At 47.6% G+C, this 25090-nt stretch overlaps 2 protein-coding genes across 4 annotated transcripts in view, besides 3 other annotated features; both read left to right on the top strand.

The window, feature by feature from the left end:
• Positions 12479-12798: a silencer, noted in NCBI's record as "silent region_17076". NCBI's record gives its function as "represses an Ori minimal core promoter by ATAC-STARR-seq in GM12878 lymphoblastoid cells {active_cell/tissue: GM12878}" and the evidence as "EXISTENCE:reporter gene assay evidence [ECO:0000049][PMID:35858748]".
• Positions 12479-13288: a biological region, named in NCBI's record as "NANOG-H3K27ac-H3K4me1 hESC enhancer GRCh37_chr6:34393285-34393989".
• Positions 12584-13288: an enhancer, noted in NCBI's record as "NANOG-H3K27ac-H3K4me1 hESC enhancer chr6:34393285-34393989 (GRCh37/hg19 assembly coordinates)". NCBI's record gives its function as "activates a minimal SCP1, AML or CMV promoter by ChIP-STARR-seq in naive H9 embryonic stem cells {active_cell/tissue: H9 hESC(naive)}" and the evidence as "EXISTENCE:reporter gene assay evidence [ECO:0000049][PMID:30033119]".
• Positions 12727-21342, top strand: RPS10 (ribosomal protein S10). 3 transcript variants are annotated; one of them, NM_001014.5, is made up of 6 exons: positions 12727-12764; positions 13575-13724; positions 13956-14127; positions 16989-17066; positions 20372-20427; positions 21249-21342. In NM_001014.5, the coding sequence occupies exons 2-6, from the start codon at positions 13575-13577 to the stop codon at positions 21288-21290; spliced, it is 498 nt and encodes a 165-aa protein (NP_001005.1). In that variant the 5' UTR covers positions 12727-12764; the 3' UTR covers positions 21291-21342. The 3 variants fall into 3 exon arrangements, with proteins under 3 accessions (NP_001005.1, NP_001191020.1, NP_001190174.1); NM_001204091.2 differs by having other exon boundaries at positions 12727-12768; NM_001203245.3 differs by having other exon boundaries at positions 12727-13000.
• Positions 12727-25090, top strand: part of RPS10-NUDT3 (RPS10-NUDT3 readthrough) — a 138876-nt gene continuing 126512 nt past the window's right edge. The window contains exons 1-5 of the mRNA NM_001202470.3: positions 12727-12764; positions 13575-13724; positions 13956-14127; positions 16989-17066; positions 20372-20427. Of these exons, the coding sequence (NP_001189399.1) occupies positions 13575-13724; positions 13956-14127; positions 16989-17066; positions 20372-20427 (456 nt within the window). The 5' untranslated portion in view covers positions 12727-12764. The remainder of the gene's footprint in view (positions 12765-13574; positions 13725-13955; positions 14128-16988; positions 17067-20371; positions 20428-25090) is intronic.

The raw sequence follows: 25090 nt of genomic DNA, 5'->3' as shown, positions 1-25090 counted from the left end.
TGATATGTGCGTTTTACAATCCTAGCTACAGAGTGCTGATTGGTGCATTTTACAATCCTCTTGTAAGACAGAAAAGTTCTCCAAGTCTCCACTGGACCCAGAAAGTCCAGCCAGCTTCACCTTTCATTAGGTGGATTCAAAGATTTTTCTGATTGGCAGTTGGTTGAAAGAATTAAAGCTTTGTCTAAAGACCTGAAGTTAGCAGAAGGAAATGACTGAGTTCAGATAAGGGGGATTGTGGAGGCCAAAGTTTTTGTTTTTTTTTTAATATGGAGTCTCACTCTGTTGCCCAGACTGGAGTGCAGTGGCATGCTCTTGGCTCACTGCAACCTCCACCTCCTGGGTTCACGCCATTCTCCTGCCTCAGCATCCTGTTCAGTTGGGATTACAAGCACGTGCCACCACACCCAGCTAATTTTTGTATTTTTAGTAGAGATGTGGTTTCGCCATGTTGGCCAGGCTGGTCTCGAACTCCTGATGTTAGGTGATCCTCCCACCTTGGCCTCCCAAAGTGCTGGGATTACAGGCGTGAGCCACCGCGCCAGGCCCAAACTTCTTGTTATATCAATGAAGCCTCATAGGTAGCCCCTTTCAGAAAGACTAGATGGTAAATCTCCTTTCAGAACTTAAACGTGTCAGGTTCTAATTTAATCTCTCATAGGTCCCAGAAAGGCCTAGAAAGGGAAGCCTGGCTGCATTAACGGAGATTCTCTAAAGATGCAAATTTCCCCCACAAAAAGATGGCTTCACAGAACTATTTCAAAATATATCAAAGAAATATATTTTGGGGTGAAATATTTTTATTTCCTTTAGGGTCGCTATTTGTCTCATGATGCTACACCAGAGTATGGTTGTAATTTGGTATCCTATTGCCCTGAAGAGTCTGTTCTGTCAGTATTATTTTAAGTCTTATATCCCTATTTTCATGTTAATGCTGGTCAGTTGTGCCTAAACTCTAAAAGGGAGGGAGTGTGACCTCTCTTCCAGTCTTGGTCAGGAATTCAGTTTTTCAGGTTTCTCTGGGTCCCAGAACGGGTCTGTTCAGCTGTTCAGTCAGTTGGGGAGCTTAGGATTGTATTTTTTTATTTACAGTAATAAATCAGTAAACATAAGTAAATGTTTCCCTGAGTTCTGTGAGCTGCTTCAGCAAAGTAATTGCACTCAAAGATGGGGTTGTGGGAACCCCAACATGAAGCCAGTTAGAAGTTCCTGAGGCCCAGACTTGCTACTGGTATTGAAAGACGACAGCGTGCTAGCAGCCCTCATTCATCCTCCGGGCCTCCTAGGCCTCGGCGTCCACTCTGGCTGCAACTGAGGAGCCCTTCAGCCCGCGGCTGCACTGTGGGAGCCCCTCTCTGGGCTGGCCGAGGCTGGAGCCGGCTTCCTCCGCCTGCGAGGAGGTGTGGAGGGAGAGGCACAGGCGGGAACCAGGGCTGCGCTCGGGGCTCGCGGGCCAGCGCGAATTCTGGGTGGGCGGGTGGGCACAGGTTCTGCGGGCCTCGCACTCGGAGCGGCTGGCCAGCGGCGCCACTGGCCCTGGGCAGTGAGGGGCTTAGCATCCAGGCCAGCAGCTGCGGAGGGTGCACCGGGTCCCCCAGCACTGTGCTGCTTGAATTCTTGCCAGGCCTCAGCCACCTCCCGAAGGGGCAAAGCTCGGGACCTGCAGCCCGCCATGCCCGAGGCACTCTGTGTCTAGCTCAAAGTTTATAAATACACCAATCAGCATCCTGTCACAACGGACCAATCAGCTCTCTGTAAAATGGACCAATCTGCTCTCTGTAAAATGGACCAATCAGCTCTCTGTAAAATGGGCCAATCTGCAGGATGTGGGTGGGGTCTGATACGCGAATAAAAGCAGGCTGCCTTAGCCAGCAGTTGCAAGGCGCTTGGGTCGTATTCATTATTGTGGGAGCTTTGTTCTTTCCTTGTTTGCAGTGAATCTTGCAGCTGCTTACTCTTTGGGTCTGGGCTGCGTTTATGAGCTGTAACGCCACGAAGCTCTGCAGCTTCACTGCTGAAGCCAGTGTAGACCAAGAACCCACCAGAAAGAAAAAACTCAACACATCTGAACATTGGAAGGAACAAGCTCCAGACACACTGTCTTTAAGAACTGTAACACTCACCGCAAGGGTGTGCAGCTTCATTCTTGAAGTCAGTGAGACCAAGAAGGAACAACTCCGGACGCACTGCCTTAAGAATTGTAACACTCACCATGAGGGTCTGTGGCTTCGTTCTTGAAGTCAGACCAAGAACCCACTAATTCCAGACATAGTATCTGGGGGGGTGGCAGGGGCAGTGTTGGGGAGTGAGCTCCAAAGCTCCAAGTCTGTGGAATCTGACACTAACTCCAGGTAGATAGTGTGGGAATTGGTGCCCAGTTGGTGTGTGCTGCAGAATTGATAACTTGCTTGCTGGTGAGAAGCCCCCATATGTGTTGGGATCATGGAAGTCTTCTATGTTGATTGTTGTATTGGCCCAAGAGGGGAAGAAATACTCAGTTTGAGAGTTTTTCCTGAATACACAGCCATTTTGGAAAACAGTTTGACAGTTTTGTATAAATTTTAACACATACCTCCCATAAAGCCTAGCAATCCACTCCTAGGTATTTATTTACCCAAGTGTATGTCCACCCCCAAGCATATGTCCATACAGAAGCCTGTAACCTGATGCTTCTAGCAGCTTTATTGGTGATAGCCAAAAACTGATAACAACTCAAATGTCCATCGAGGAAGAATGCATAAACTATTTTGGTATATTCATTCAGTGGAATACTTCCTGGCAATAAAAAGGAAGGCAGGCTGGGCGCGGTGGCTCATGCCTTTAATCCCAGCACTTTAGGAGGCCGAGGTGGGCAGCTCAGCTGAGGTCAGGAGTTCGAGACCAGCCTAGACAACATGGAGAAACTCCGTCTCTACTAAAAATACAAAAATTCGTCTGGTGGGGTGGCATGCGCCTGTAGTCCCAGCTACTTGGGAGGCTGAGGCAGGAAAATTGCTTGAACCCAGGAGGCGGAGGGTGCAGTGAGCCGAGATCACGCCACTGCACTCCAGCCTTGGCAACAGAGCAAGACTCCATCTCAAAAAAAAAAAAAAAAAAGGAAGGAAATATGGAACAGGGATAAATTTCAAAACTATTAGTGAAAGAAACTGTACCGAAAAGAGGATATAACATGATTTTAGTTATATAAAATTTTAGAAAAGGGAAATCTAATCTATAGCAACAAAAAGCAAATTAGTGGTTGCCTGGGCCCAGGACTAGGGGAAGGGGAGCAGGTATAAAGGGGTACAAGGGAATTTTGGGAGTGATAGAAATGTTCTTGTATCAGGATTGGTTGTTACATGATTGTCTACACCTGTCAAACTCATCAAAATTGTGTCCTTAAAATGGATAGATTTTATTAGATGTAAATTATACCTGAAGAAAGTTGTTTTTTTAAATGGGTAAGACTGAAGTATGGTGTCTAGAGATGCACTCTTGGATGAGGAACCCCGCTGGAAGCGAGTCCTATGAGTCGGGATGGTGGGCTCAGTTGGAGGGAGCCAGGGACTACACTTGGGATGTGGTACGGAAGGGCTTCTATGGGGGGAGAGTGCGGGGGATGTCAAGGTTCTAGTTCTTGACTTGGGTGGTGATTACAAGGGTGTCTGCCTTATAAAAGTTCACTAAGCTGGATGGGCATGGTGGCTGACACATGCACTCCCAGCACTTTGGAAGGCCAAGGGGGCCAGATCACCTGAGGTCAGGCATTCGAGACCAGGCTGGCCAAACATAGTGAGACCCCGTTTCTACTAAAAATACAAAAAATTGGCTGGTGGTGGTGCACGCTTGTAATCCCAGCTATCTGGGAGGCTGAAGCAGGAGAACTGCTTGAACCCGGGAGGCAGAGGTTGCAGTGAGCCAAGATTGTGCCACTGTACTCCAGCCTAAGCAACAGAGTGAGACTCCATCTCAAAAAAAGGAAAAAAAAAAAAAGCGGGGGAGGGGGTGGGCGGGGGGGCCAGGCACAGTGGCTCATGCCTGTAATCCCAACACTTTGGGATACCAAGGAGGGTGGATCACCTGAGGTCGGGAGTTTGAGGCCAGCCTGACCAACATGGAGAAACCCCATCTCTTCTAAAAATACAAAATTAGCTGGGCATGGTGGCGCATGCCTGTAATCCCAGATACTCGGAAGGCTGAGGCAGAAGATTCACTTGAACCTGGGAGGCGGAGGTTGCGGTGAGCCGAGATTGAGCCACTGCACTCCAGTCTGGGCAAGAGCAAGAGCAAAACTCTGTCTCAAAAAATAAAAAATAAAAAAAAGTTCACTAAGCTGTATCTTTGTTTTTTGTAGTTTCTCGTATCCGATTTTAGTTTATAATTAAATGTTTACAGATAAATTTTAGGCTGGGCACGGTGGCTCACGCCTGTAATCCCAGCACTTTGGGAGGCCGAGGCGGGCAGATCGCCTGAGCTCAGGAGTTCGAGATCAGCCTGGGCAACACAGTGAAACCCCCGTCTCTGCTAAAGTACAAAAAATGAGCCAGGCATGGCGGCATGTGCCTGTAGTCCCAGCTACCTGAGAGGCTGAGGCAGGAAAATTGCTTGAACCTGGGAAGTAGAGGTTGCAGTGAGCCAAGATCGCGCCTCTGCACTACAGCCTGGGCGACAGAGCAAGACTCTGCCTCCGAAAATAATAATAATAATAATAACAAAATAATAATAATAATAATTGTGGCCTGGCATGGTGGCTCATGCCTGTAATCCCAACATTTGGGAGGCCAAGGCGGGTGGATCACCTGAGGTCAGGAGTTCAAGACCAGCCTGGCCAACATGGCGAAATCCCTCTACTAAAAAAATACAAAAAATAAAATTAGCTGGGTGTGGTGGTGGGTGCCTGTAATCCCAGCTACTTGGGAGGCTGAGACAGGAGAATTGCTTGAACCCGGGAGGTAGGGTTGCAGTGAGCCGAGATCATGCCATTGCACTCCAGCCTGGGTGATAATAATAATTATTATTATCATATGTCTCAAAAGAAAAGACAGTTAAAAAGAATCCAAGAAGTAGGATAAATGCTCAGAGGTTTATACCTTGAGCATAGACATTGACAGCAACGTGATGGCCTCCAGTATAGACCACCTCCACAGCAATGTGGATCATCTCCTCAAGAGTGAGGCCCAAAGCAACAGATCCAACAGGCTATAAATATGTGACATTCCCTGGACTCTGTTTTCACTTTGACACTGGTCATAATCAAATAATTCAGGAAAATAATCACAGCAGCACTGGGAAGGTGAGGTCAGAGGAGCTGCGCCAAACCACAATAGGAAAAGAGGTGGCCCACCGAAGGGGAGGGGACATCCCATGTGGAGAGGAGCAGGTGCCATTTAGAGGAGAAAACAGCCCTTCAGCCCATGGCGTCAAGAGTGTGTGTGTGTGTGTGTGTGTGTCCGGGGATGTATCAGTAGCCATCTACCTACATCCGCAAACTCACATATGCCGTGCGAGCTACAAATGAAGATTGCAGCACAGATGGCTCTTTTGAAGGGGTTTCTGGATGAGTGGGAAGAGATAATGTTCTACAGGATTAGGAACCTATTTTAGGTGTGGTGCCAGGAGATGGGGGAAGAGGTGAGGCCCAGGGTGTCTCTTGAGGAATGTCTGTTTTAGTGTTCTTACAGTCAGTGCATTGCTGTACCGGGGCCATGAACTGGTATCCTCCACCCTATCCCCAGAGCCCAGGAAATAGAGAAATCTCCTGGCTGCAGTGCTGGCCACAGAGGGCACTACTCCTCTAGGTCTCCCTCCACCCCTGCTGTGACACCAGAGATTTTATAAAAGACCCAGGAATCTCAGAAGGCAAGGGACTGAAACTTGAAAATCTTTAGAAACCACAGTTTACTGTTTTCCAACCTGAGGAGGTCCCTAGGGTCGCTGGGGACCTAAACCCTGGCTTCCCTTGGTGTTCATAGGTTCCTCAGAGTCACTGGTTCACAACTTTGGCTGCTTTAGAGATAGTCATTTAGGCCGGGTACAGTGGCTCACACCTATAATCCCACTTTTGGAGGCCGATGTGGGAGGATCACCTGAGCCCAGGAGTTCAAGACCAGCCTAGGCAACATAGTGAGACCCATCCCACGCCCCTTGCATCTCTGTACAAAAGTTTAAAAACTAGCTGGGCATGGTGGTGCACACCTGTAGTCCCAACTGTTTGGGTGGCTAAGATAGGAAGGATCACTTGAGCCCAGAAAGTCAAGGCTGCAGTGAGCTGTGATCACACCACTGCACTCCAGTCTGGGTGAAAGAGGGAGACCCTGACTCAGAAAAAAAAGAAAAGAATAAGAAAAGGCCACGCATGGTGGCTCACGCTTGTAATCCCAACACTTTGGGAGGTCAAGAAGGGGCCGATCACCTGAGGTCAGGAATTCCAGACCAGCCTGACAAACATATAGTGAAACCCTGTCTCTACTTAAAAAAAATACAAAAATTAGCTGGGCGTGATGGCATACACCTGTAATGCCAGCTACTTGGGAAGCTGAGGCAGGAGAATCTGTTGAACCCAGAAGGCAGAGGTTGCAGTGAGCCGAGATCATGCCATTGCACTCCAGCCTAGGTGACAAGAGTGAAAGTCCATCTCAAAATAAATAAATAAATAAAAGTAATCTCTTTAAAAGATACATTGAATCCTGTCACTACTGCTTGAAACCTTTCCACGGCTTTTCGTTGCACTTTGAATAAAATCCTGATGCCTTCCTGAGGTCGATGTGCGGTCCAGCTTCACCTTGTTACCATGTCCTAATCATCCTGGCTGCCTTTCAGCTCAAGCTCTTTCCTGCATCGGGGCCCTTCAGAGGCCCTGTTCCCCCTTCCCAGTTCTCCTCTCAGTTCTCTGTAGGTTTCAGATCAAACATCACCTCCTCACTCCCCATTACTCTCCATCACCACAGGCTGATCATTTTCTCCGTAGCTCTCAGCACATGACAGAAGTATACATTGCTTGTCATGGGATCCCTGTGTGCTCATGTCCCCAGTCAGCCCCATCATCTGGCCCAGGGCTAGGGACCCAGTGCCTAAGTGCGGAATGGAATTCGGCGAACTCCATGAAGTGCTGGCATCTCAGAAGGCTTTGGTAATGGCAGAGATAGTATTATTCCCTTCCTTCCTTAGTCATTGTTGGGAGCAGGCCCCCCAAAATCTGGCCATAAACCGGCCCCAAAACTGGCCATAAACAAAATCTCTGCAGCACTGTAACATGTTCATAATGGCCCTAGCACCCACGCTGGAAGGTTGTGGGTTTACGGGAATGAGGGCAAGGAACACCTGACCCGCCCAGGGCAGAAAACCGCTTAAAGGCATTCTTAAGCCACAAACAATAGCATGAGCGATCTGTGCCTTAAGGACATGCTCCTGCTGCAGTTAACTAGCCCAACCTATTCATTTAATTTGGCCCATCACTTTGTTTCCCATAAGGGATAATTTTAGTTAATTTAATATCTATAGAAACAATGCTAATGGCTGGTTTGCTGTTAATAAATACGTGGGTAAATCTCTGTTCGGGGCTCTCAGCTCTGAAGGCTGTGAGACCCCTGATTTCCCACTTCACACCTCTATATTTCTGTGTGTGTGTCTTTAATTCCTCTAGCGCCGCTGGGTTAGGGTCTCCCCGACCAAGCTGCTCTCAGCAAGTCATCATCTTTTGTTTCCTCCACTTGCCGTGAGGTTACTGTTAATTTTGAAACATTTATTAACGAACATATGAGACACCATGCTAAATGCTAGAAAGGACACTGAGAGAGGGGAAGCCATGGTCCCTGACCTCAGGGAGGTGCCATCCAGGATGGAGACACTAAGGGAACCCTATCATTCCAGGGTGAGCTGGGCAGTGCTGTGGAGCTCCTCCTTGTCTCCTCCTCACTCCTTATCCTTTCTAGGTGACCTCAGAACCTCACAAGGTCTTAGATGATGCCCTTTCCTCATCTAACCCAGCTCTCTTCCACAGGACACATTCAGAACCCTTTATCTAAAATTATACTGTGCATTTGCACCAGTGTGTCTCATGGGAACCTCAAATGCAACAAAATCTAAAACTGAATTCATCTCTCATAAACAATTTAGTGGTATTTCAGATAAATAGAAGCATAGCTCATTGGGGAAATGGTGTTGAGATACTGGCTAACCCTTTGGAGGGAAAATGTTTTACATCAGAGAACATTCCAGGAGGATAAAAGATATATATAAAAAAAGGAAGTCAACCAAGCATGGTGGCTCACACCTGTAAACCCAGCACTTTGGGAGGCCGAGGTGGGCAGATCCATTGAGCTCAGGAGTTCAAGATCAGCCTAGGTAACATGGAGAAACCTTGTCTCTATTAAAATACCAAAAAAAAAAAAAATTTAGCTGGGCTTGGTGGCACATATGTAATCCCAGCTACTTGGGATGCTGAGGCACAATAATTGCTTAAGCTGAGATCATGCCACTGCACTCCAGCCTGGGTGACAGAGTGAGACTCTGTCAAAAAAAAAAAAAAAAAAGGACTGAGTATTTTTTCAAGTGAGCTGGGGAGCCATTAGCGGGATTTAAACAGGGAAGTGACATGGTCTGATGTTGCAGCAGGATCGCCATGGCTCTAGGAAGAGAAGAGAATCTGGGAGACCATATTTCAGTTGACTGCATCCCATCGTTGCTGCTGGGAAGTGGGCAGTCATACCTGTCTTTTCTTACTGGCTGCTTTTAAGATCTTCCCCAGAGTCATCCCCCTGGTCAGGTGCAAGGGCTCATGCTTGTAATCCCAGCATTTCGGGAGGCCAAGGTGGGAGGATCACCTAAAGTCAGGAGTTCGAGACCAGCCTGGCCAACATGGTGAAACTCTGTCACTACTAAAAATACAAAAATTAGCCAGGCATGATGGTGCATACCTGTAATCCCAGCTACTAGGGAGGCTGAGGCAGAAAAATCGCTTGAACCCCGGAGGCAGAGCTTGCAGTGAGCCAAGATTGTGCCACTGCACTCCAGCCTGGGTGACAGAGTAAGACTCTGTCTCAAAACAACAAACAAAATCAAAGTCCTCTCTCTGGTCACTGAGATAAATGCGTATCTGACTGTCTCCTTCCGAAAGGCTAATCAGAAACTCAAAAGAATGCAACCGTTTGTCTCTCACCTACCTGTGACCTGGAAGCCCCCTCCCTGCTTTGAGTTATCTCACCTTTCTGGACCGAACCAATGTTCATTTTACATATGTTGATTGATGTCTCATGTCTTCCTAAAATGTATAAAACCAAACTGTGCTCTGACCACGTTGGGCGCATGTCATCAGGACCTCCTGAGGCTGTATCATGGGCGCATCCTCAACCTTGGCAAAATAAACTTTCTAAATTAACAGACCTGTCTCAGATTTTCAGGATTCACATTGTCTTCCAATAATTCTGGAAAATACTCTGACAGTGTTTCTTTCCTTTCTCTATTATTTTCTTATAAGACTTCACCTAGACATCTATTAGACTTTCTAACTCTATCACTCATGTCTCATCCTTGCTTTCAAATATTCCATCTCTTTAGCTGGGTGTGGTGGTGTGCACCTGTAGACCAAGCTACTCGGGAGGCTGAGGCAGGAGGATGGCTTGAGCCCTGAAGGTCGGGGCTGCAGTGAGTCGTGACTGTGCCACTGCTCTCCAGCCTTGGCAAAAAAAGGGAGACCCTGTATTAAAAAAACAACAACTAAAAATCAATCAAATATTCTCTTTCAGTCTCTGGACTACATTGTGTCTATCTGTATATATATTTTCATTTCTACTTTTAATCTCACTGACTTTTCAAGTGTGTCAGTATGTCAAATCTATTGTTTAGTCTTGTTGTCTGTTTTTTTTTTTGTTTTTTTTGTTTTTTGTTTTTTTTTTTTTTTTTTTTTTAGAGAGGAGGTCTTGCTATGTTGCCCAGGCTGCTCTCCAACTCCTGGGCTCAACCGATCCTCCCACCTCAGCCTAAAGAGCTACCTTAAGTAGTTAGGACTACTACAGGTTCACAGCACACCTTACCTGGCTATTTAGTCTTTTTGTTTGTTTTTGAGACGGAGTCTCGCTCTGTCGCCCAGGCTGGAGTGCAGTGGCGCCATCTCGGCTCACTGCAAGCTCCGCCTTCCGGGTTCACACCGTTCTCCTGCCTGAGCCTTCCGAGTAGCTGGGACTACAGGCACCTGCCACCATGCCCGGCTAATTTTTTGTATTTTTAGTAGAGACGGGGTTTCCCTGTACTAGCCAGGATGGTCTCGATTTCCTGACCTCATAATTCGCCCGCCTCAACCTCCCAAAGTGCTGGGATTACAGGCGTGAGCCATGGCGCCCAGCCTTTTTGTTTGTTTTTTTGAGACGGAGTCTCACTCTGTTGCCCAGGCTGGAGTGCAGTGGCGCGATCTCGGCTCACTGCAATCTCCGCCTCCCGGGTTCACGCCATTCTCCTGCCTCAGCCTCGCGAGTAGCTGGGACTACAGGTGCCCGCCACCACACCTGGCTAATTTTTTAGTATTTTTAGTAGAGATGGGGTTTCACCGTGTTAGCTAGGATGGTCTCGATCTCCTGACCTTGTGATCCGCCTGCCTTGGCGGATCCCAAAGTGCTGAGATTACAGGCGTGAGCCACCGCGCCCGGCCTTTTTTTTTTGACAGAGTTTTGCTCTGTCACCCAGGCTGGCCAGGCAATCTCGGTTCTGCAGCCTTGACCCACGGGCTCAAGCAATCCTCAAAACTCAGATTCATGAGTAGCTGGGATTACAGTCACCCGCCACCATGTCCGGCTAATTTTTTTTTTTTTTTTTTTTTTTTTGAGACAGAATCTTGCTCTGTCACCCAGGCTGGAGTGCAGTGACGAGATCTTGACTCACTGCAACCTCTGTCTTCCAGGTTCAAGCGAATTCTCCTGCCTCAGCCTCGTGAGTAGCTGGGATTACAGGTATCCACCACTATGCCCAGCTAATTTTTGTATTTTTAGTAGAGACGGGGTTTCACTATGTTGGTCAAGCTGGTCTCGAACTCTTGACCTCCGGTGAACCGCCCACCTCGGCCTCCCAAAGTGCTGGGATTACAGGCCTGAGCCGCCGTGCCCGGTCCACTTTTCTTTTCTTTTTTTTTTTTTTGAGACGGAGTTTCGCTCTTGTCGCCCAGGCTGCAGTGCAATGGTGCAATCTCGACTCACTGCAAGCTCCACTTCCCAAGTTCAAGTGATTCTCCTGCTTCAGCCTCCCAAGTAGCTGGGATTACAGGCGCCCGCCAACATGCCTGGCTAATTTTTGTATTTTTTTTTTTAGTAGAAATCGGATTTCGCCATGTTGGCCAGGCTGGTCTCGAACGCCTGACCTCAGGTGATCCACCCGCCTCGGGCTCCCAAAGTGCTGGGATTATAGGCGTGAGCCTCTGCGCCCGGCCCCACTTTCCTTTCTTTCTTTTTAGACGGAGTGTCGCTCTGTCGCCCAAGCTCTGGAGTGCAGTGGAGTGATCTCGGCTCACTGCAACCTCCGCATACGGGGTTCAAGCGATTCTCCTGCCTCAGCCTCCTAAGTAGCTGGAATTACAGGCGCACGCCAACACACCTGGCTAATTTTTTTGTATTTTTAGTAGAGATGGGGTTTCACTATGTTGGCCAGCTGGTCTTGAACTCCTGACCTCAGGTGAACCGCCCACCCTGGCCTCCCAAAGTGCTGGGATTACAGGCTTGAACTGCCGCGCCCAGCCTCTTTTTTTTTTTTTTTTTATTTAAATAGAGCCAGGGTCTTGCTCTGTCACCCAGGCTGGACTGCAGGGGCACGAACCCGGCTCACTGCACCCTCCACTTTCCTGGCTCAAGCGATCCTCCCGCCTCAGCCTCCTCAATAACTGGGACTACAAGCGTGCACCACCACAGTCAGTTAATTAAAAAAAAAAATTGTAGAGATGAAGTCTCACCATTGCCTAGGCTAGTCTGGACCTCCTGGGCTCAAGCAGTTCTCCTGCCTCAGCCTCCCAAAATGCTGAGTCAATTTTTTTTTTTTTTTTGAGACAGAGTCTCACTGTCGCCCAGGCTGCAGTGCAGTGGCATGATCTCGGCTCACTGCAACCTCCACCTCCCGGGTTCAAGCGCTTCTCCTGCCTCAGCCTCCCGAGTAGCTGGGACTACAGGCGCCCGCCACCACGCCGGCTAATTTTTTTTGTATTTTTAGTAGAGACAGGGTTTCACCATTGGCTAGGCTGGTCTCGAACCCCTAACCTTGTGATCTGCCCACCTCGGCCTCCCAAAGTGCTGAGATTATAGGCGTGAGCCACTGTGCCCGGCCTCTGTTTTTTATTAAAAAAAAAAAAAGTCTACTTGTGTGAGTGCATATGAATTTGGAAAAGTGTATACCACAATGTTAATAGCTATTTTCTTTGGTTGATGGGATTATGTTTTTAGTCTTTTATCGTCATCTGATTTATATGTTCTCTCTCTTTTCTTGCTCCAAGAGCATATATCACTTGCATAATAGATTTTGGCCGGGAAAAAAAGAAGAAGCGTTTCTAAAACGACAGCCCAAAATAAGTGACCCTGTACTGATAGAGCACGCAAGCTCAGAAGTTCCCGGCGGCGGTTTCCTAGTGCGTGCGTGAGTCCCTCAGGCGGTCAGGCTCCGTGGTCAGATCCGCCAGTTCTTCAGGCACCGCCGAGGCCACCCCAGGCTCCCCGCGGGTCCTGGCGGGGGGCGGGTCCACGCCAGCCCGGAAGAGACGCAGCACCGCGCATGCTCCTTCCTTTCCAGCCCCGGTACCGGACCCTGCAGCCGCAGAGGTGAGTTTCTGTGGCGTTCGAGTTCCATCGGCTCCCATCCGGGCTATCCTGCCGCCTTAGCGGCTGCTTCTCCCCAGGATGCGGGCAGGGGGCCTCTCTCCCACTCCCCACACACCGATTTCTGAGTAGCGATAGGGGCTGGAGGCTTATTTTATGGGGTAGGGGGCCGCTGGTAGGCGAAGATTGTCCGAGGGAGAGGGGGAGGATGAAGCCAGTGAGTGGCGGAGACTTGCCAGGTGAGACTAGCGAGACGGTGTCCCACCGACACGCTTTTTTCTTGGGAACAGGACTCCCCCGACTGCCTCCTTGCCTGGCACTGGAGCTCTAGTTTGGGGGAGAAGTGGTAGGTAGGAGACGAGGGTGCGAAGGCCTTAGCCCTTTGGTTTGGGGTCTGCCGCCTTCAAGAAGCCGGGGCTTTACCCCTCCGGGCCTTCCCTGCGTACCTTATGGTACAGCCGCGAGATTCCGCGCTGGGTACGGTCGCTGATGGCCTCCAACTGCTCCCGATAATACAGGGTTTGCTCCTCTCCCCCCCATTGACCTTTGTAATTGATGAGAACTTAAGGAAGTTTGGCGCGAATGTGCACCACTATCCTGGTTTTAACATACTGTCAACTTTTCCACCTGAATTGTGTTTGGGGGTGGGGACTGACGGAGCTGGCCTCTGCCGAATCTGTTTTGTGGAGTTGAGTCTTCCCACCAGCATGTTGTCTACGGTTTTGTGTGGGTCACTTTAGGATCAAGAACTTGATTACCGGGCCCCGGCCTCGTTACTCAGAAGTGCTCTTGACAATCGTCTCCTTCTTGCAGATGTTGATGCCTAAGAAGAACCGGATTGCCATTTATGAACTCCTTTTTAAGGAGGGAGTCATGGTGGCCAAGAAGGATGTCCACATGCCTAAGCACCCGGAGCTGGCAGACAAGAATGTGCCCAACCTTCATGTCATGAAGGCCATGCAGGTAGGAGGGTGAGGAGGAAGATGGGATGGATCTTCCTCCCCGGGATCCCATCCCGGGATGGGATGGAATGGGATGGAGGGATCTTCCCCTAAGGTTCAAGGCAAGTTCAAAAAGGGAGGTCAGGACTGCGGGGGCTGCTTGCTAACTTGAAGGGCTGGCTGGGACTGGAGACTTGCCTAGGATGATCCAAGCTTCTACTTAACGCCTTAACAGTAGTTTTCTGCCTTACAGTCTCTCAAGTCCCGAGGCTACGTGAAGGAACAGTTTGCCTGGAGACATTTCTACTGGTACCTTACCAATGAGGGTATCCAGTATCTCCGTGATTACCTTCATCTGCCCCCGGAGATTGTGCCTGCCACCCTACGCCGTAGCCGTCCAGAGACTGGCAGGCCTCGGCCTAAAGGTATGGTTCCCACACAAATCCCTTCAGCTATTTGAAGATAGTTTCTTTTGTGTAAGGGACAAAAGCATTCTTAGCTGATGTCAGCTTTAGAGGGCTCTGGCCTGCAGGCATTTGGTCAAGTGCTAGAACCTTTGTCCCATGGCTTGGGACTTGGAATAGAACTAGACTCAGTTCTTCAGGCCATCCATGAGATGGCCTTAAGCACAGATAGTCTGTCACTTTCTTCACCCACACCTGTACAAACATCCAGATACATGTGGTATAGAATATTGAGTAACTTTTCCCGCAGAGTGCGTTGTACTATTCCCGAGAAGTCCAAAGCAAAGCCATTTACCACCTCGAAAGAAACAAGAGTGTTGTAGTTTTCTTGCCAACAGGAGAAGAAATTAGAAACTGGAGTGGAGAACGGATGGTGTATACCACGATGTGAAAGGATATGCATGCATGTGTGGTGTGAGGAGAATTATCTTCTGATTCTTGGGATCATTGCTAGCTCACAGTTGCTTTTTTTTTTTTTTTTTTTTTTTTAACGGAGTCTTGCTCTGTTGCCCAGCCTGGAGTGCGGTGGTAAGCCACCGTGCTTGGCCTGTATTTTATCTAGGTTATGGTTCTTTGTTACAAAACTCTGTAGGAGCTGCAGAGAGCATAGGTTGAGGTGAAAAAATGCGCAGATTCCTAAATGTGATCATCAGAGGGCCCAGGTTCCCCTGGAGAGTTACCTTATGGAGCTCAGGAATTCGTTATGAAAGCTCCCCAAGGGATTCTGGTGATTAGGTAGACATAATTTTTTGAGACAGAGTCTCACTCTGTTGCCGAGGCTGGAGTGCAGTGGTGCGATCTCAGCTTACTGCAACTTCCACCTCTGAGGTTCAATCAATTCTGTCTCAGCCTCCCGAGACTGGGATTATAGGCGCCCAGAGCGACACCCAGCTAATTTTTGTATTTTTAGTGGAGATGGGGTTTCACTCTGTTGGCCAGGCTGGGCTCGAACTCCTGACCTCAGGTGATCCACCACCTCAGCCTCCCAAAGTGCTGGGATTACAGGCGTTAGCCACCGCGCCCAGCCCATAATACGTCTTTTTAGCAAAAGTTGTCTACTACATCTTGGAATCTCCTGGGAGAAAAAAATACCAGTGCCTATCTGTGCTTGATATATTCTGATTTAGTTGGGCCTGACATTTGTTTTTGCCACTCATTACATGATTAATTTATTTCTGCTCTAAAAGGAGTTCATTCTGCCTGAGTGCAGTGACTCATTCCTGTAATCCCAGCACTTTAGGAGGCCAAGGCAGGAAGACTACTTGAGTCCAGGAGTTTGAGACCAGCTAAGGCAGTATAGTGAGACTCCGTCTACAAAAAAATAAATTAGCCAGGCATGGTGGTGCACACCTGTGGTTAAGCCCAGGAACTCCAGGCTGCATTGAGCTGTGATTGTGGCCATGGCACTCAGCCTGAACAACAAAGCAAGACACTGTGTCAAAAAAAAAAAAAGGAGACATAGTTCATATTCTAATCATATGGACTCCGGGTAAGTTCCAGGGTAACTGGCTAGAGAAAATACTTGATTAAATTGTTACTGATTGTGTTTGTTTGTTTGTTTATATTCTGTCACCTAGGCTGGAGTGCAGTGTCACGATCCCAATTTACTGCAACCTCTGCCTCCTGGGTTCAAGTGATTCTCCTGCCTCAGCTTCTTGGTAGCTGGGATCACAGGCGTGCACCACCACACCCGGCTAATTTTTGTAATTTTAGTAGAGACAGGGTTTTACCATGTTGGCCAGGTTGTTCTTGAACTCCTGGCCTCAAGTGATCACCTGCCTTGGCCTCCCAAAGTGCCGGGATTACAGGCATGAGCCACTGCGTCTGGCCATTTATGATAATTTTTTTAAGGTAGCTCTTAAAGTTTGTGCCTTAGGGTGTGGTGGCTCACACCTGTAATCCCAGCACTTTGGGAGGCCAAGGCGGGAGGATCACATGAGACCAGGAGTTCAAGACCAGCCTGTCTAACATGGTAAAACCCTGTCTCTACTAAAGATACCAACCAAAAAAAATTAGCCTGGGCGTGGTGGCTCGTGCCTATAATCCCATCACTTTGGAAGGCCAAGGCGGGAGGGTCACTTGAGGTCAGGAGTTGGAGACCAGCCTGGCCAACAGGTTGAAACCCCCTTTCTACTAAAAATACAAAACGTAGCCGTGCGTGGTGGCACGTGCATGTAATCCCACCTACTGGGGAGGCTGGGGTGAGAGAACTGCTTGAACCCAGGAGGCAGAGGTTGCAGTGAGCCAAGATCGCGCCACTGCACTCCAACCTGGGTGACAGAGTGAGACTCCGTCTCACAAAAAGATAATAAATAATAAAGTTTCTGCCTTAATATATATCCCACAGCCTAACAGGTATGTGAAGAAGCCCAAGAGGAACTCAACGATTCTTGGTAACCCCTAGATTATGTACTTAATATTGGAGTTGGGACTTTCAGCTTAGGATGCTTCCTTTTCTGTTTGCATATACTAAGTTTTCCACTTAACGTGGGTCAGGTTCAAAAGTTTAGCTATTCAGATGTTCATAGAAATAGCTAGATACCTAGATTGGTCCAATAATTGGAAAATAGTTTTATGTTGAAACAAAATGGAAGCCTTTTTTTTTTTTTTCAGATTTGCAGCCAAGATTGTCAATAAGTTTCTATGGAGAAATAATTATTTCTAGCTGACATTGTAGGTTTAAGGAGTTCCTGTCCCCATTAACCCATCTTAACCAAGTGGTTGCTGAGAGTGACAACAGGAGAGCAATGCCAGTTTTCTTGGCTTTAAGGGACAGAGTTCTCACATTGCCCTGTGTTCACAGTGTGGTTTGATTTACATAGGTCTGGAGGGTGAGCGACCTGCGAGACTCACAAGAGGGGAAGCTGACAGAGATACCTACAGACGGAGTGCTGTGCCACGTGAGTAAATGCATCACCTATATTAGGGGTGTTGGGGTGAAATGTCTGGATTCTCACAGCTGGCTCTGGCTGGGTGGGGCTCAGCCCTTGATGATGACAAAATGACCAGGAAAGATTCTTGGTTTCACTCTGCAGAGCATCAGAACAGCTGGAGTCCTTTGTGCTTCTTTCTTCATGCAGTGATTTCATAGATGAGAATTAGGAGGAGGCTGGGATTTTTTAAAAAACAAAACTCAGGCCGGGCTCAGTGGCTCATGTCTGTAATCCCAGCACTTTGGTTGGAGGGGGGGGGTCGAAGTGGGCAGATTACTTGAGGTCAGGAGTTCGAGACCAGCCTGGCCAACATGACGAAACCCTGTCTCTATTAAAAATACAAAAATTAGGGCGGTGTGGTGGTGGGCGTCTGTAGTCCCAGCTACTTAGGAGGCTGAGGCATGAGAATTGCTTGAACCTGGGAGGCAGAGGCCGCAGTGAGCCGAGATCATGCCATTGTATTAGATCTATGGCTCACACTGGGCACGAGGATAGGGGGAGGAAAGCAAATGCCAATAACAAATATGGTTTCAGTAATTGTTAAAGTTGTCACTCCAGCCTGGGTGACAGAGCAAGACTGTCTCAAAAAAAAAAAAAAACCTCTTCGGTAAAATGTGGAGCTTTTGTTAGTATTTTTGCAAAGGAATAATAGGATTCAACTTTTTTTTTTTTTTAATTTTCTTTCATTTTTGAGACAGTCTCGCTCTGTCACCCAGGCTGGAGTGCAGTGGCAAGATCTTAGCTCACTGCAAGCTCTGCCTCCTGGGTTCACGCCACTCTCCTGCCTCAGCCTCCCGAGTAGCTGGGACTACAGGCGACCGCCGCCATGCCCAGCTAATTTTTTTTGTATTTTTAGTAGAGATGGGGTTTCACCGTGTTAGCCAGGATGGTCTGGATATCCTGACCTCATGATCCGCCCGCCTCAGCCTGCCAAAGTGCTGGGATTACAGATGTGAGCCACCGCGCCCACCCGGATAAAGTCACTCGTTGTTGATTGTAATACAAAAGCAAGGTGTACAAGAAGAGTTTTTACTAACTTCTACCACTCTTAGCTTTTTTCTGTCATCTTTTGGAGAAGTGACCACTTGACCTGAGTACCATACAGGGTAGTAGAAGGAATGAATTTCTCCAGCCCTTGGTTCAGAGGAAGTTGGTGATACTGGAAGTTTAACGATTATGGGCCAGGCACAGTGGCTCATGCCTGTAATCCCAGCACTTTGGGAGGCCGAGGCAGGTGGATCACTTGAGGTCAGGAGTTCAAGACCAGCCTGGCCAGCATGGTAAAACCCCATCTCTACTTTAAAAAATTAGCTGGGCATGATGGTGTGTGCCTGCCTGTAATAATCTCAGCTACTCGGGAGGCTGAGGCGGGAGAATTGCTTGAACCTGGGAGGCGGAGGTTGCAGTGAGACAAGATCATGCCACTGCACTCCACCCTGGGCAACAGCAAGACCCTGTCTCAAAAGAAAAGAAAACGATTACTGAAACCATATTCGTTATTGGCATTTGCTTTCCTCCCCCTATTCTTGTACCCAATGTGAGCCATAGATCTAATACAAAATTTCCTCGTAGCCACACTTGAAAAAGCAAGTGGAAACAGGTTATTTGAGTACTAATGTCTTTTATTTAATCAAATATTTGTAAAAGTGAGTTGGGAATGGTGGTATGTGCCTATAGTCCCAGCTACTTGGAAGGCCAAGGCAAGAGGATTGTTTTGAGCCCAGGAGTTTGAGATACAGTGAGCTATGATCTTGTTGCTACATTCCAGCCTGGGCAACAGAGTGAGACCCTGCCCCCCGCACCAACTCAAATAAATCAGGGCCGGGCGCGGTGGCCCACTCCTGTAATCCCAGCACTTTGGGAGGCCGAGGCGGGCAGATCACCTGAGGTCAGGAGTTTGAGACCAGCCTGGACAACATGGTGAAACCCCGTCTCTACTTAAAATACAAAAAATTAGCCAAGCGTGGTGGTATGCACATGTAGTCCCAGCTACTCGGAGCATGAGGCAGGAGAATCGCTTGAACCCAGGAGGTGAAGGTTGCAGTGAGCTGAGATTGCATCATTGCACTCCAGCCTCAGGGACAAGAGTGAGACTTCGTCTCAAAAAAAAAAAATAAGTAAATAAATACAAATAAATCGGTTTAAAAAATATCTAAACGTGTTAATTTAACATGTAATCAGTATAAAGAGTAGTGAAATATTTTACATTCTTTTTTTCTTAAGTCTTTGTAATTGGCTGGGTGCAGTGGCTCACACCCGTAATTCCAGCACTTAGGGAGGCTGAGGCAGGCAGATCACTTGAGCTCAGGAGTTCTAGACCAGCCCGGGCAACATGGCAGAACCCCATCTCTACAAAAAATATAAAAATTAGGGCTGGGTGCGGTGGCTCATGCCTGTAATCCCAACACTTCAGGAGGCCGAGGTGGGCGGATCACTTGAGGTTGGGAGTTTGAGACCAGCCTGGAGAAACCAACATGAAGAAACCCCATCTCTACTAAAAATACAAAAAAATTAGCCATGCATGGTGGCGCATGCCTGTAATCCCAGCTACTCGGGAGGCTGAGGCAGGAGAATCGCTTGAACCTGGGAGGCGGAGGTTGCAGTGAGCCGAGATCGCGCCATTGCACTCTAGCCTGGGCAACAAGAGCGAAATTCAGTCTCAAACGAACAAAAAATATAAAAATTAGCTGCCTGTAGTCCCACCTGAGGTGGGAGGATCGCTTGAGCCCATGAGGCAGAGGTTGTAGTGAGCTGAGATCGTACCACTGCACTCCATCCTGGGTGACAGAGTAAGACCCTGTCTCAAATAAGTAAAAGAAAACTGGTGAATTTTGCACACGTCTCCATTTGAACTGTGACTGGGATATAGGACCGGGCAGCATCTTGTCTGCTTTTCTCCCATGGTGGTAATTAAGGCTTTTGTGGGCCCTTCCCTTTACATGTTAGTTCTTCCATAATTACACTCCCTTTGTTATCTAGATGCTGCTGTGAAGTGGGTAAGTCAGTCAGTGTGATAGGAAGTAGGAATCCTTTGGGAGGATTTATAGTTTGGGCTGTGAGTATTGAAGGGTGACATAAGGAAGGCTGAGAAGGGTGCCCCAGGAGAGACAAAGGTGGCTCAGAAGGTATTCCCCACCACTGGTGTAATTTGCTTATATTTAACGGAGTGGTACTTGGCTTTTCCTGCAAGATTGGAGTCAGTGAGTTGTCTTCCCTTGTTCTATAGTAGATTAGATCATATGATGATTCTAAATCGATGTTTCACTTTCTAGCTGGTGCCGACAAGAAAGCCGAGGCTGGGGCTGGGTCAGCAACCGAATTCCAGTTTGTGAGTATCTTCCTATTTGTTTTCCATGAGCCATCACTTGTTCTGGCCTCAGTCTGGTTGCTCTGCAAGTTGTGGGGATGTCATATAGTATGGGTGGGTCCTGTCAACCAGTTCCCTCCTCCCACTTTTTTCCAAATTCCAAATTTTACATTGAGTTGTAGCATGCAAACTTTTGTAAATACATAAATTACTGAAATGAGTCTCAGAAATCAGTACATGTGGCCTACTAGTATTTTCTGTTTCATTAATGCTTGACATTGAACTAAACACTGGAAGGTGGGTGGGCTTAAGAACCAAGATGGTATGAAATCAAATCCTCCATCTTTTTTCAGTTGATGTAATGTTAGGTAGGTTCCCCTCTGCCTCAGTTTCTCCATCTATAAAATAAGGTGATAATTACAGCTACTAAGGTAGTTGTGAGATTAGTTAATCCAGGCATAGTACTGGCATATCATTTTTGTCCTATGGCAGGTCCTCATAGCACACGATTGCTCTCAGATAATGTCATTTGTAAAAAGGAAGCATGTACAGTAGAAACGGTCCAATCCTGGTGCTGGATGCTTTCATAGGAGTATGTATGAACACACTCTGGGTGGGTGGCCATACTCCCACTTTACCAATGAAGAAATGGGCCTAGATGTTAGATATGGCCCCACATCCAGTAAGGGGCAGTGCTGGGATTTATAGCCTGTACTCAGCTCTCTCCCAGCTGTTTACATTTGGGGGCCTCTGGAGTTATAATGAGGCCTGAAAGTTAGCAAAACCTCCAAAGATCAAACCAGAGTGCCGCTCATGCTGATGTGATGTGCTTTCTCTTACAGAGAGGCGGATTTGGTCGTGGACGTGGTCAGCCACCTCAGTAAAATTGGAGAGGATTCTTTTGCATTGAATAAACTTACAGCCAAAAAACCTTAATCTTTTGTCCATTTTGTTTGCATTGTGCAGCCTGAACAGGAACAGTTTAAGTGTCAGAATGTAAATGGGGCAGTACAGGCTTGGTTTGGGGAGTTGTCATTGTCCTGGGTGACACCGGCTGCTGCTGTACTTGGCTTTGGCGTGTGCCCTGCTTTCTCTAGGCAGTGCCTCCCTGCAGAGTGGTGTCCCATATGGTGCTGCAGTTGGAAAACTGGGTCCCTTCTTTAGACCAGCCATGCTGCCTCAGCTCAGCATGGTGGGAAAATTGCTGGTTGGCCTGGAGTCGTGATTTGTGCCTGCTGTCAGGAACTATAAGAAGTACTGGGGAGGGAGGATGAAAGGTAACGACCAAGGAAATGGTGCACTTGGAATCCTTCAATTTATGGAGAAGAAGCACAGGAATGGTGTTTAGGCCAACGTTACTAATCTAAGTCTTCAAGGCTCAGCGTTTGTTGACAAGAATCAAGGGAGAAAACAATGCACAAAAACCACTGTTCAAAGTGGCTAACGCCTACTCAGGAGCCTGAGGCAGGATTGCTTGAGGCTAGGAGTTTGAGACCAGCCTGTGCAACATAGCAAGACCCTGTCTCAGAAAAGGACCAAAACATTTGAAAGTCATCTGAAATTCTTTTTTTTTTTTTTTTTTTTTTTTTTGTGATGAAGTCTAGCTCTTCGCCTAGGCTGGAGTGCAGTGGCGTGATCTCAGCTTATCACAACCTCCGCCTCCCAGGTTCAAGCAGTTCTGCCTCAGCCTTCCGAGTAGCTGGGATTATAGGCATCTGCCACCACGTCCAGCTAATTTTGTATTTTTAGTACAGATGGGGTTTCCCCATGTTGGTCAGGCTGGTCTTGAACTCCTGACCTCAGGTGATTCGCCCACCTTGGCCTTCCAAAGTGCTGGGATTACAGGCATGAGCCACCGTGCCCAACCAACATTTTTATGTCTTAACATAATAAGGATAAATACTGGGCAGTAGGAGCTTTGCTATCCAGGGTTCCTTTAAGGAAGGAATGAGTTGTAGTTTTCCTTGGACTCAGAGTGGTGATCCGTCATCTTATGGCATGACTAAATGGACTAGAGGTGTGTATACAGTTTTCCGGTGATCAAGTGTGATCTTACCATGGTACAGGAAAGGGACTGCAAACATATACCTGGCACAATGCCAGTGAGAGCTGTGACAATCCTGTGGACTTTTGCTGGGCAGGACACCAACCTTGGCTTGCAGATCAGTCACCATGACTATCTGCTTGCAGTAAATACAAGTTACTGGGATGGAGGTGGTTAAAGCATTTGAGATACCAGCTCTGAACCAACCAGTGGCTCAAGACAGGCCCAAGGTAATGTTTTCAGCCAGAAAAGCTGGTAGCTAATTGGAAGTGCATCTTATGGGTTCCGGGGACTTGGGAATCATATTTGTGTAGTACTGTGGGGTAAGCACTGTGTACAAATGGACAATAATTGGTTAAATGGGGCCTGGCATGGTGGTTCACACCTTTAATCCCAGCACTTTGGGAGGGCAAGATAGGCGGATCACTTGAGTCCAGGAGTTAAAGACCCGCATGGGTAACACAGTGAAACCCTGTCTCCACAAAAAAAAAAAAAAAAAAAAAAAAATCATCCATGCATGGTGGTGCTCACCTGTAGTTCCAGCTACTTGGGAGGCTGAGTCAGGAGGATCGTTTGAGTCCAGGAGGTAGAGGTTGCAGTGAGCTGAGATTGTGCCCCACTGCACTCCAGCCTAGGCGACAGAGCAAGACTCAATAATAATCACTGGTCTCATGAAGCTGAGCACCGTGGCACACACCTGTAGTCCCAGCTACTCAGGAGGCCGAGGCAGAAGGATCACTTGAGCCCAGGAGTTCGAAACCATCCATTGTGAGACCCAATCTCAAAAAAAAAAAAAAAAAAATTTAAAAAATTGGTCAAATGAGATTGATGATAATTCTAAACAACACAGAATTCTAAACCACCTTCAGTATTGATAGGCAGTTGTAATGTAGACCACGAGGTGGCAGCTGATGACAACTCCAAATATGCACTTAACTGTTAGTCCTGGGAAGTGAACTTTGGAGTCTGAGCCACCAATAAAATAGAAGCTTGCTTTGGCAGAAAGAAGCAGTGTTTGGGGAAGCTTGTTTCAGCACGGCCTTGGCTCATTTCAAAGATTGCTTTTTATCCAATTTTTCTGCTGGCTTGAGTGATGTCAAGTGGTTTGCCCATGTTCACACGCTTTGTGATTGTTTAACCTGGATTCCACTGTGAAATGTTAGTAGCTCCTGCCTTTCTGTTTCCCACTGAGGCCAGCTAGTCAATAGGTTTCCTCTACGATCTTAGTGATTTTCTGGCCCTAAAATGTTACTTTTTCAGCTAGGGCTCTTTGCCAACTTCTTTCCTCGTGATTCAAATTAGTTCCGTAATACATACTCCAAGATCACCCATGGACTCTGGGGAAACCCGAGGAATCTATAAAAGAGCATGTGAATAAAAACATGCAGGTAGAAGTGGATCTTGGTGCCTGCCAGCTCTGTCCCTACCTTGGTAGGTTAAAACATACCTTCCAATCAATAATCATTCATTAGCTGCTCAAGGATCATTGCTAATAAGAGCTCTGAGAAACAAGGCTCAAAGTTTGCCCTTAACCACCTGACAGTCGAGTTGGGAAAACAAAACCAAAGCTATACATTGAATCCAGAACAACAACTATTCCATAAGTGGTAAATCGTGTCCAGACTGAATTCTAGGGAAGTGTAGGGCAAGAGAAATGAATGAAGGCTCAAGTGGCCCAGAGGTGAGTTGTGGGGTCAGGGAGGGGTGAGACTAGTCAGGGCATCTTGAAGAAGTTTTACTGGAAAATAAAAATGTCAGGTTATGAAACTGGCTGATGTCAAAAAATTAAGTTCTTTTATTTTTTCAAGTGAAGCTAAAAAGGAACATTTCAAGTCCCACTACACGTGCCTGAGGAGGTCACTTGGAGAAGGTTAAAAGGGACAGGGGTGGCTGTATGGGCCCAGCCATCACTCAGGGAAAGCTTTGAAGAGGTTTAACCCATCTTCCAGGGTTGGTCTCCAGGTGCACCATAGCCTCGAATCTACCCACCAGCCCAATGGTTCATCAGATAATCCCGACCACCACTACTACTACCAAAGGGTTTTTCAAGGGATTTTGGAAGCTGCTGGCTGAAGATACCTTTTCCTAATTTAACAAACTTCCTGATAGGGACACAAATCCCCTTCCCTGAAAACCAGAATCCCCTTGCAGCCAGTGCCAACAACAGTTTTAAGTCTCAGTGACTTTCTTGAAGCACCACTTCTGTTTTGATTAATAAACAGACCAGGAAACAGCTATCATGTAGGCATGTTAGATGCTTGCAGACAAGATAGAGCAGCTTAAAAGATCCCATAAGAGGCCGGGCGTGGTGGCTCACGCCTGTAATCCCAGCACTTTGGGAGGCCAAGGCGGGTGGATCACCTGAGGTTGGGAGTTCGAGACCAGCCTGACCAACATGGAGAAACCTGGTCTCTACTAAAAATACAAAATTAGCTACACATGGTGGTGCATGCCTGTAATCCCAGCTACTCGGAGGCGGAGGTTGCAGTGAGCCGAGATCGCACCATTGCGCTCCAGCCTGGGTGACAGAGCAAGACTCCATCTGGTTAAAAAAAAAAAAAAAAAAAAAAATCTCCTAAGAGGCCGGGCACAGTGGCTCACGCCTATAATCCCGGCACTTTGGGAGGCCGAGGCGGGCGG

Source organism: Homo sapiens, chromosome 6 (assembly GCF_000001405.40).
Source record: "Homo sapiens chromosome 6, GRCh38.p14 Primary Assembly".
Classification (NCBI taxonomy): domain Eukaryota; kingdom Metazoa; phylum Chordata; class Mammalia; order Primates; family Hominidae; genus Homo; species Homo sapiens.
This window is presented reverse-complemented; position numbering and strand designations above follow the sequence as displayed.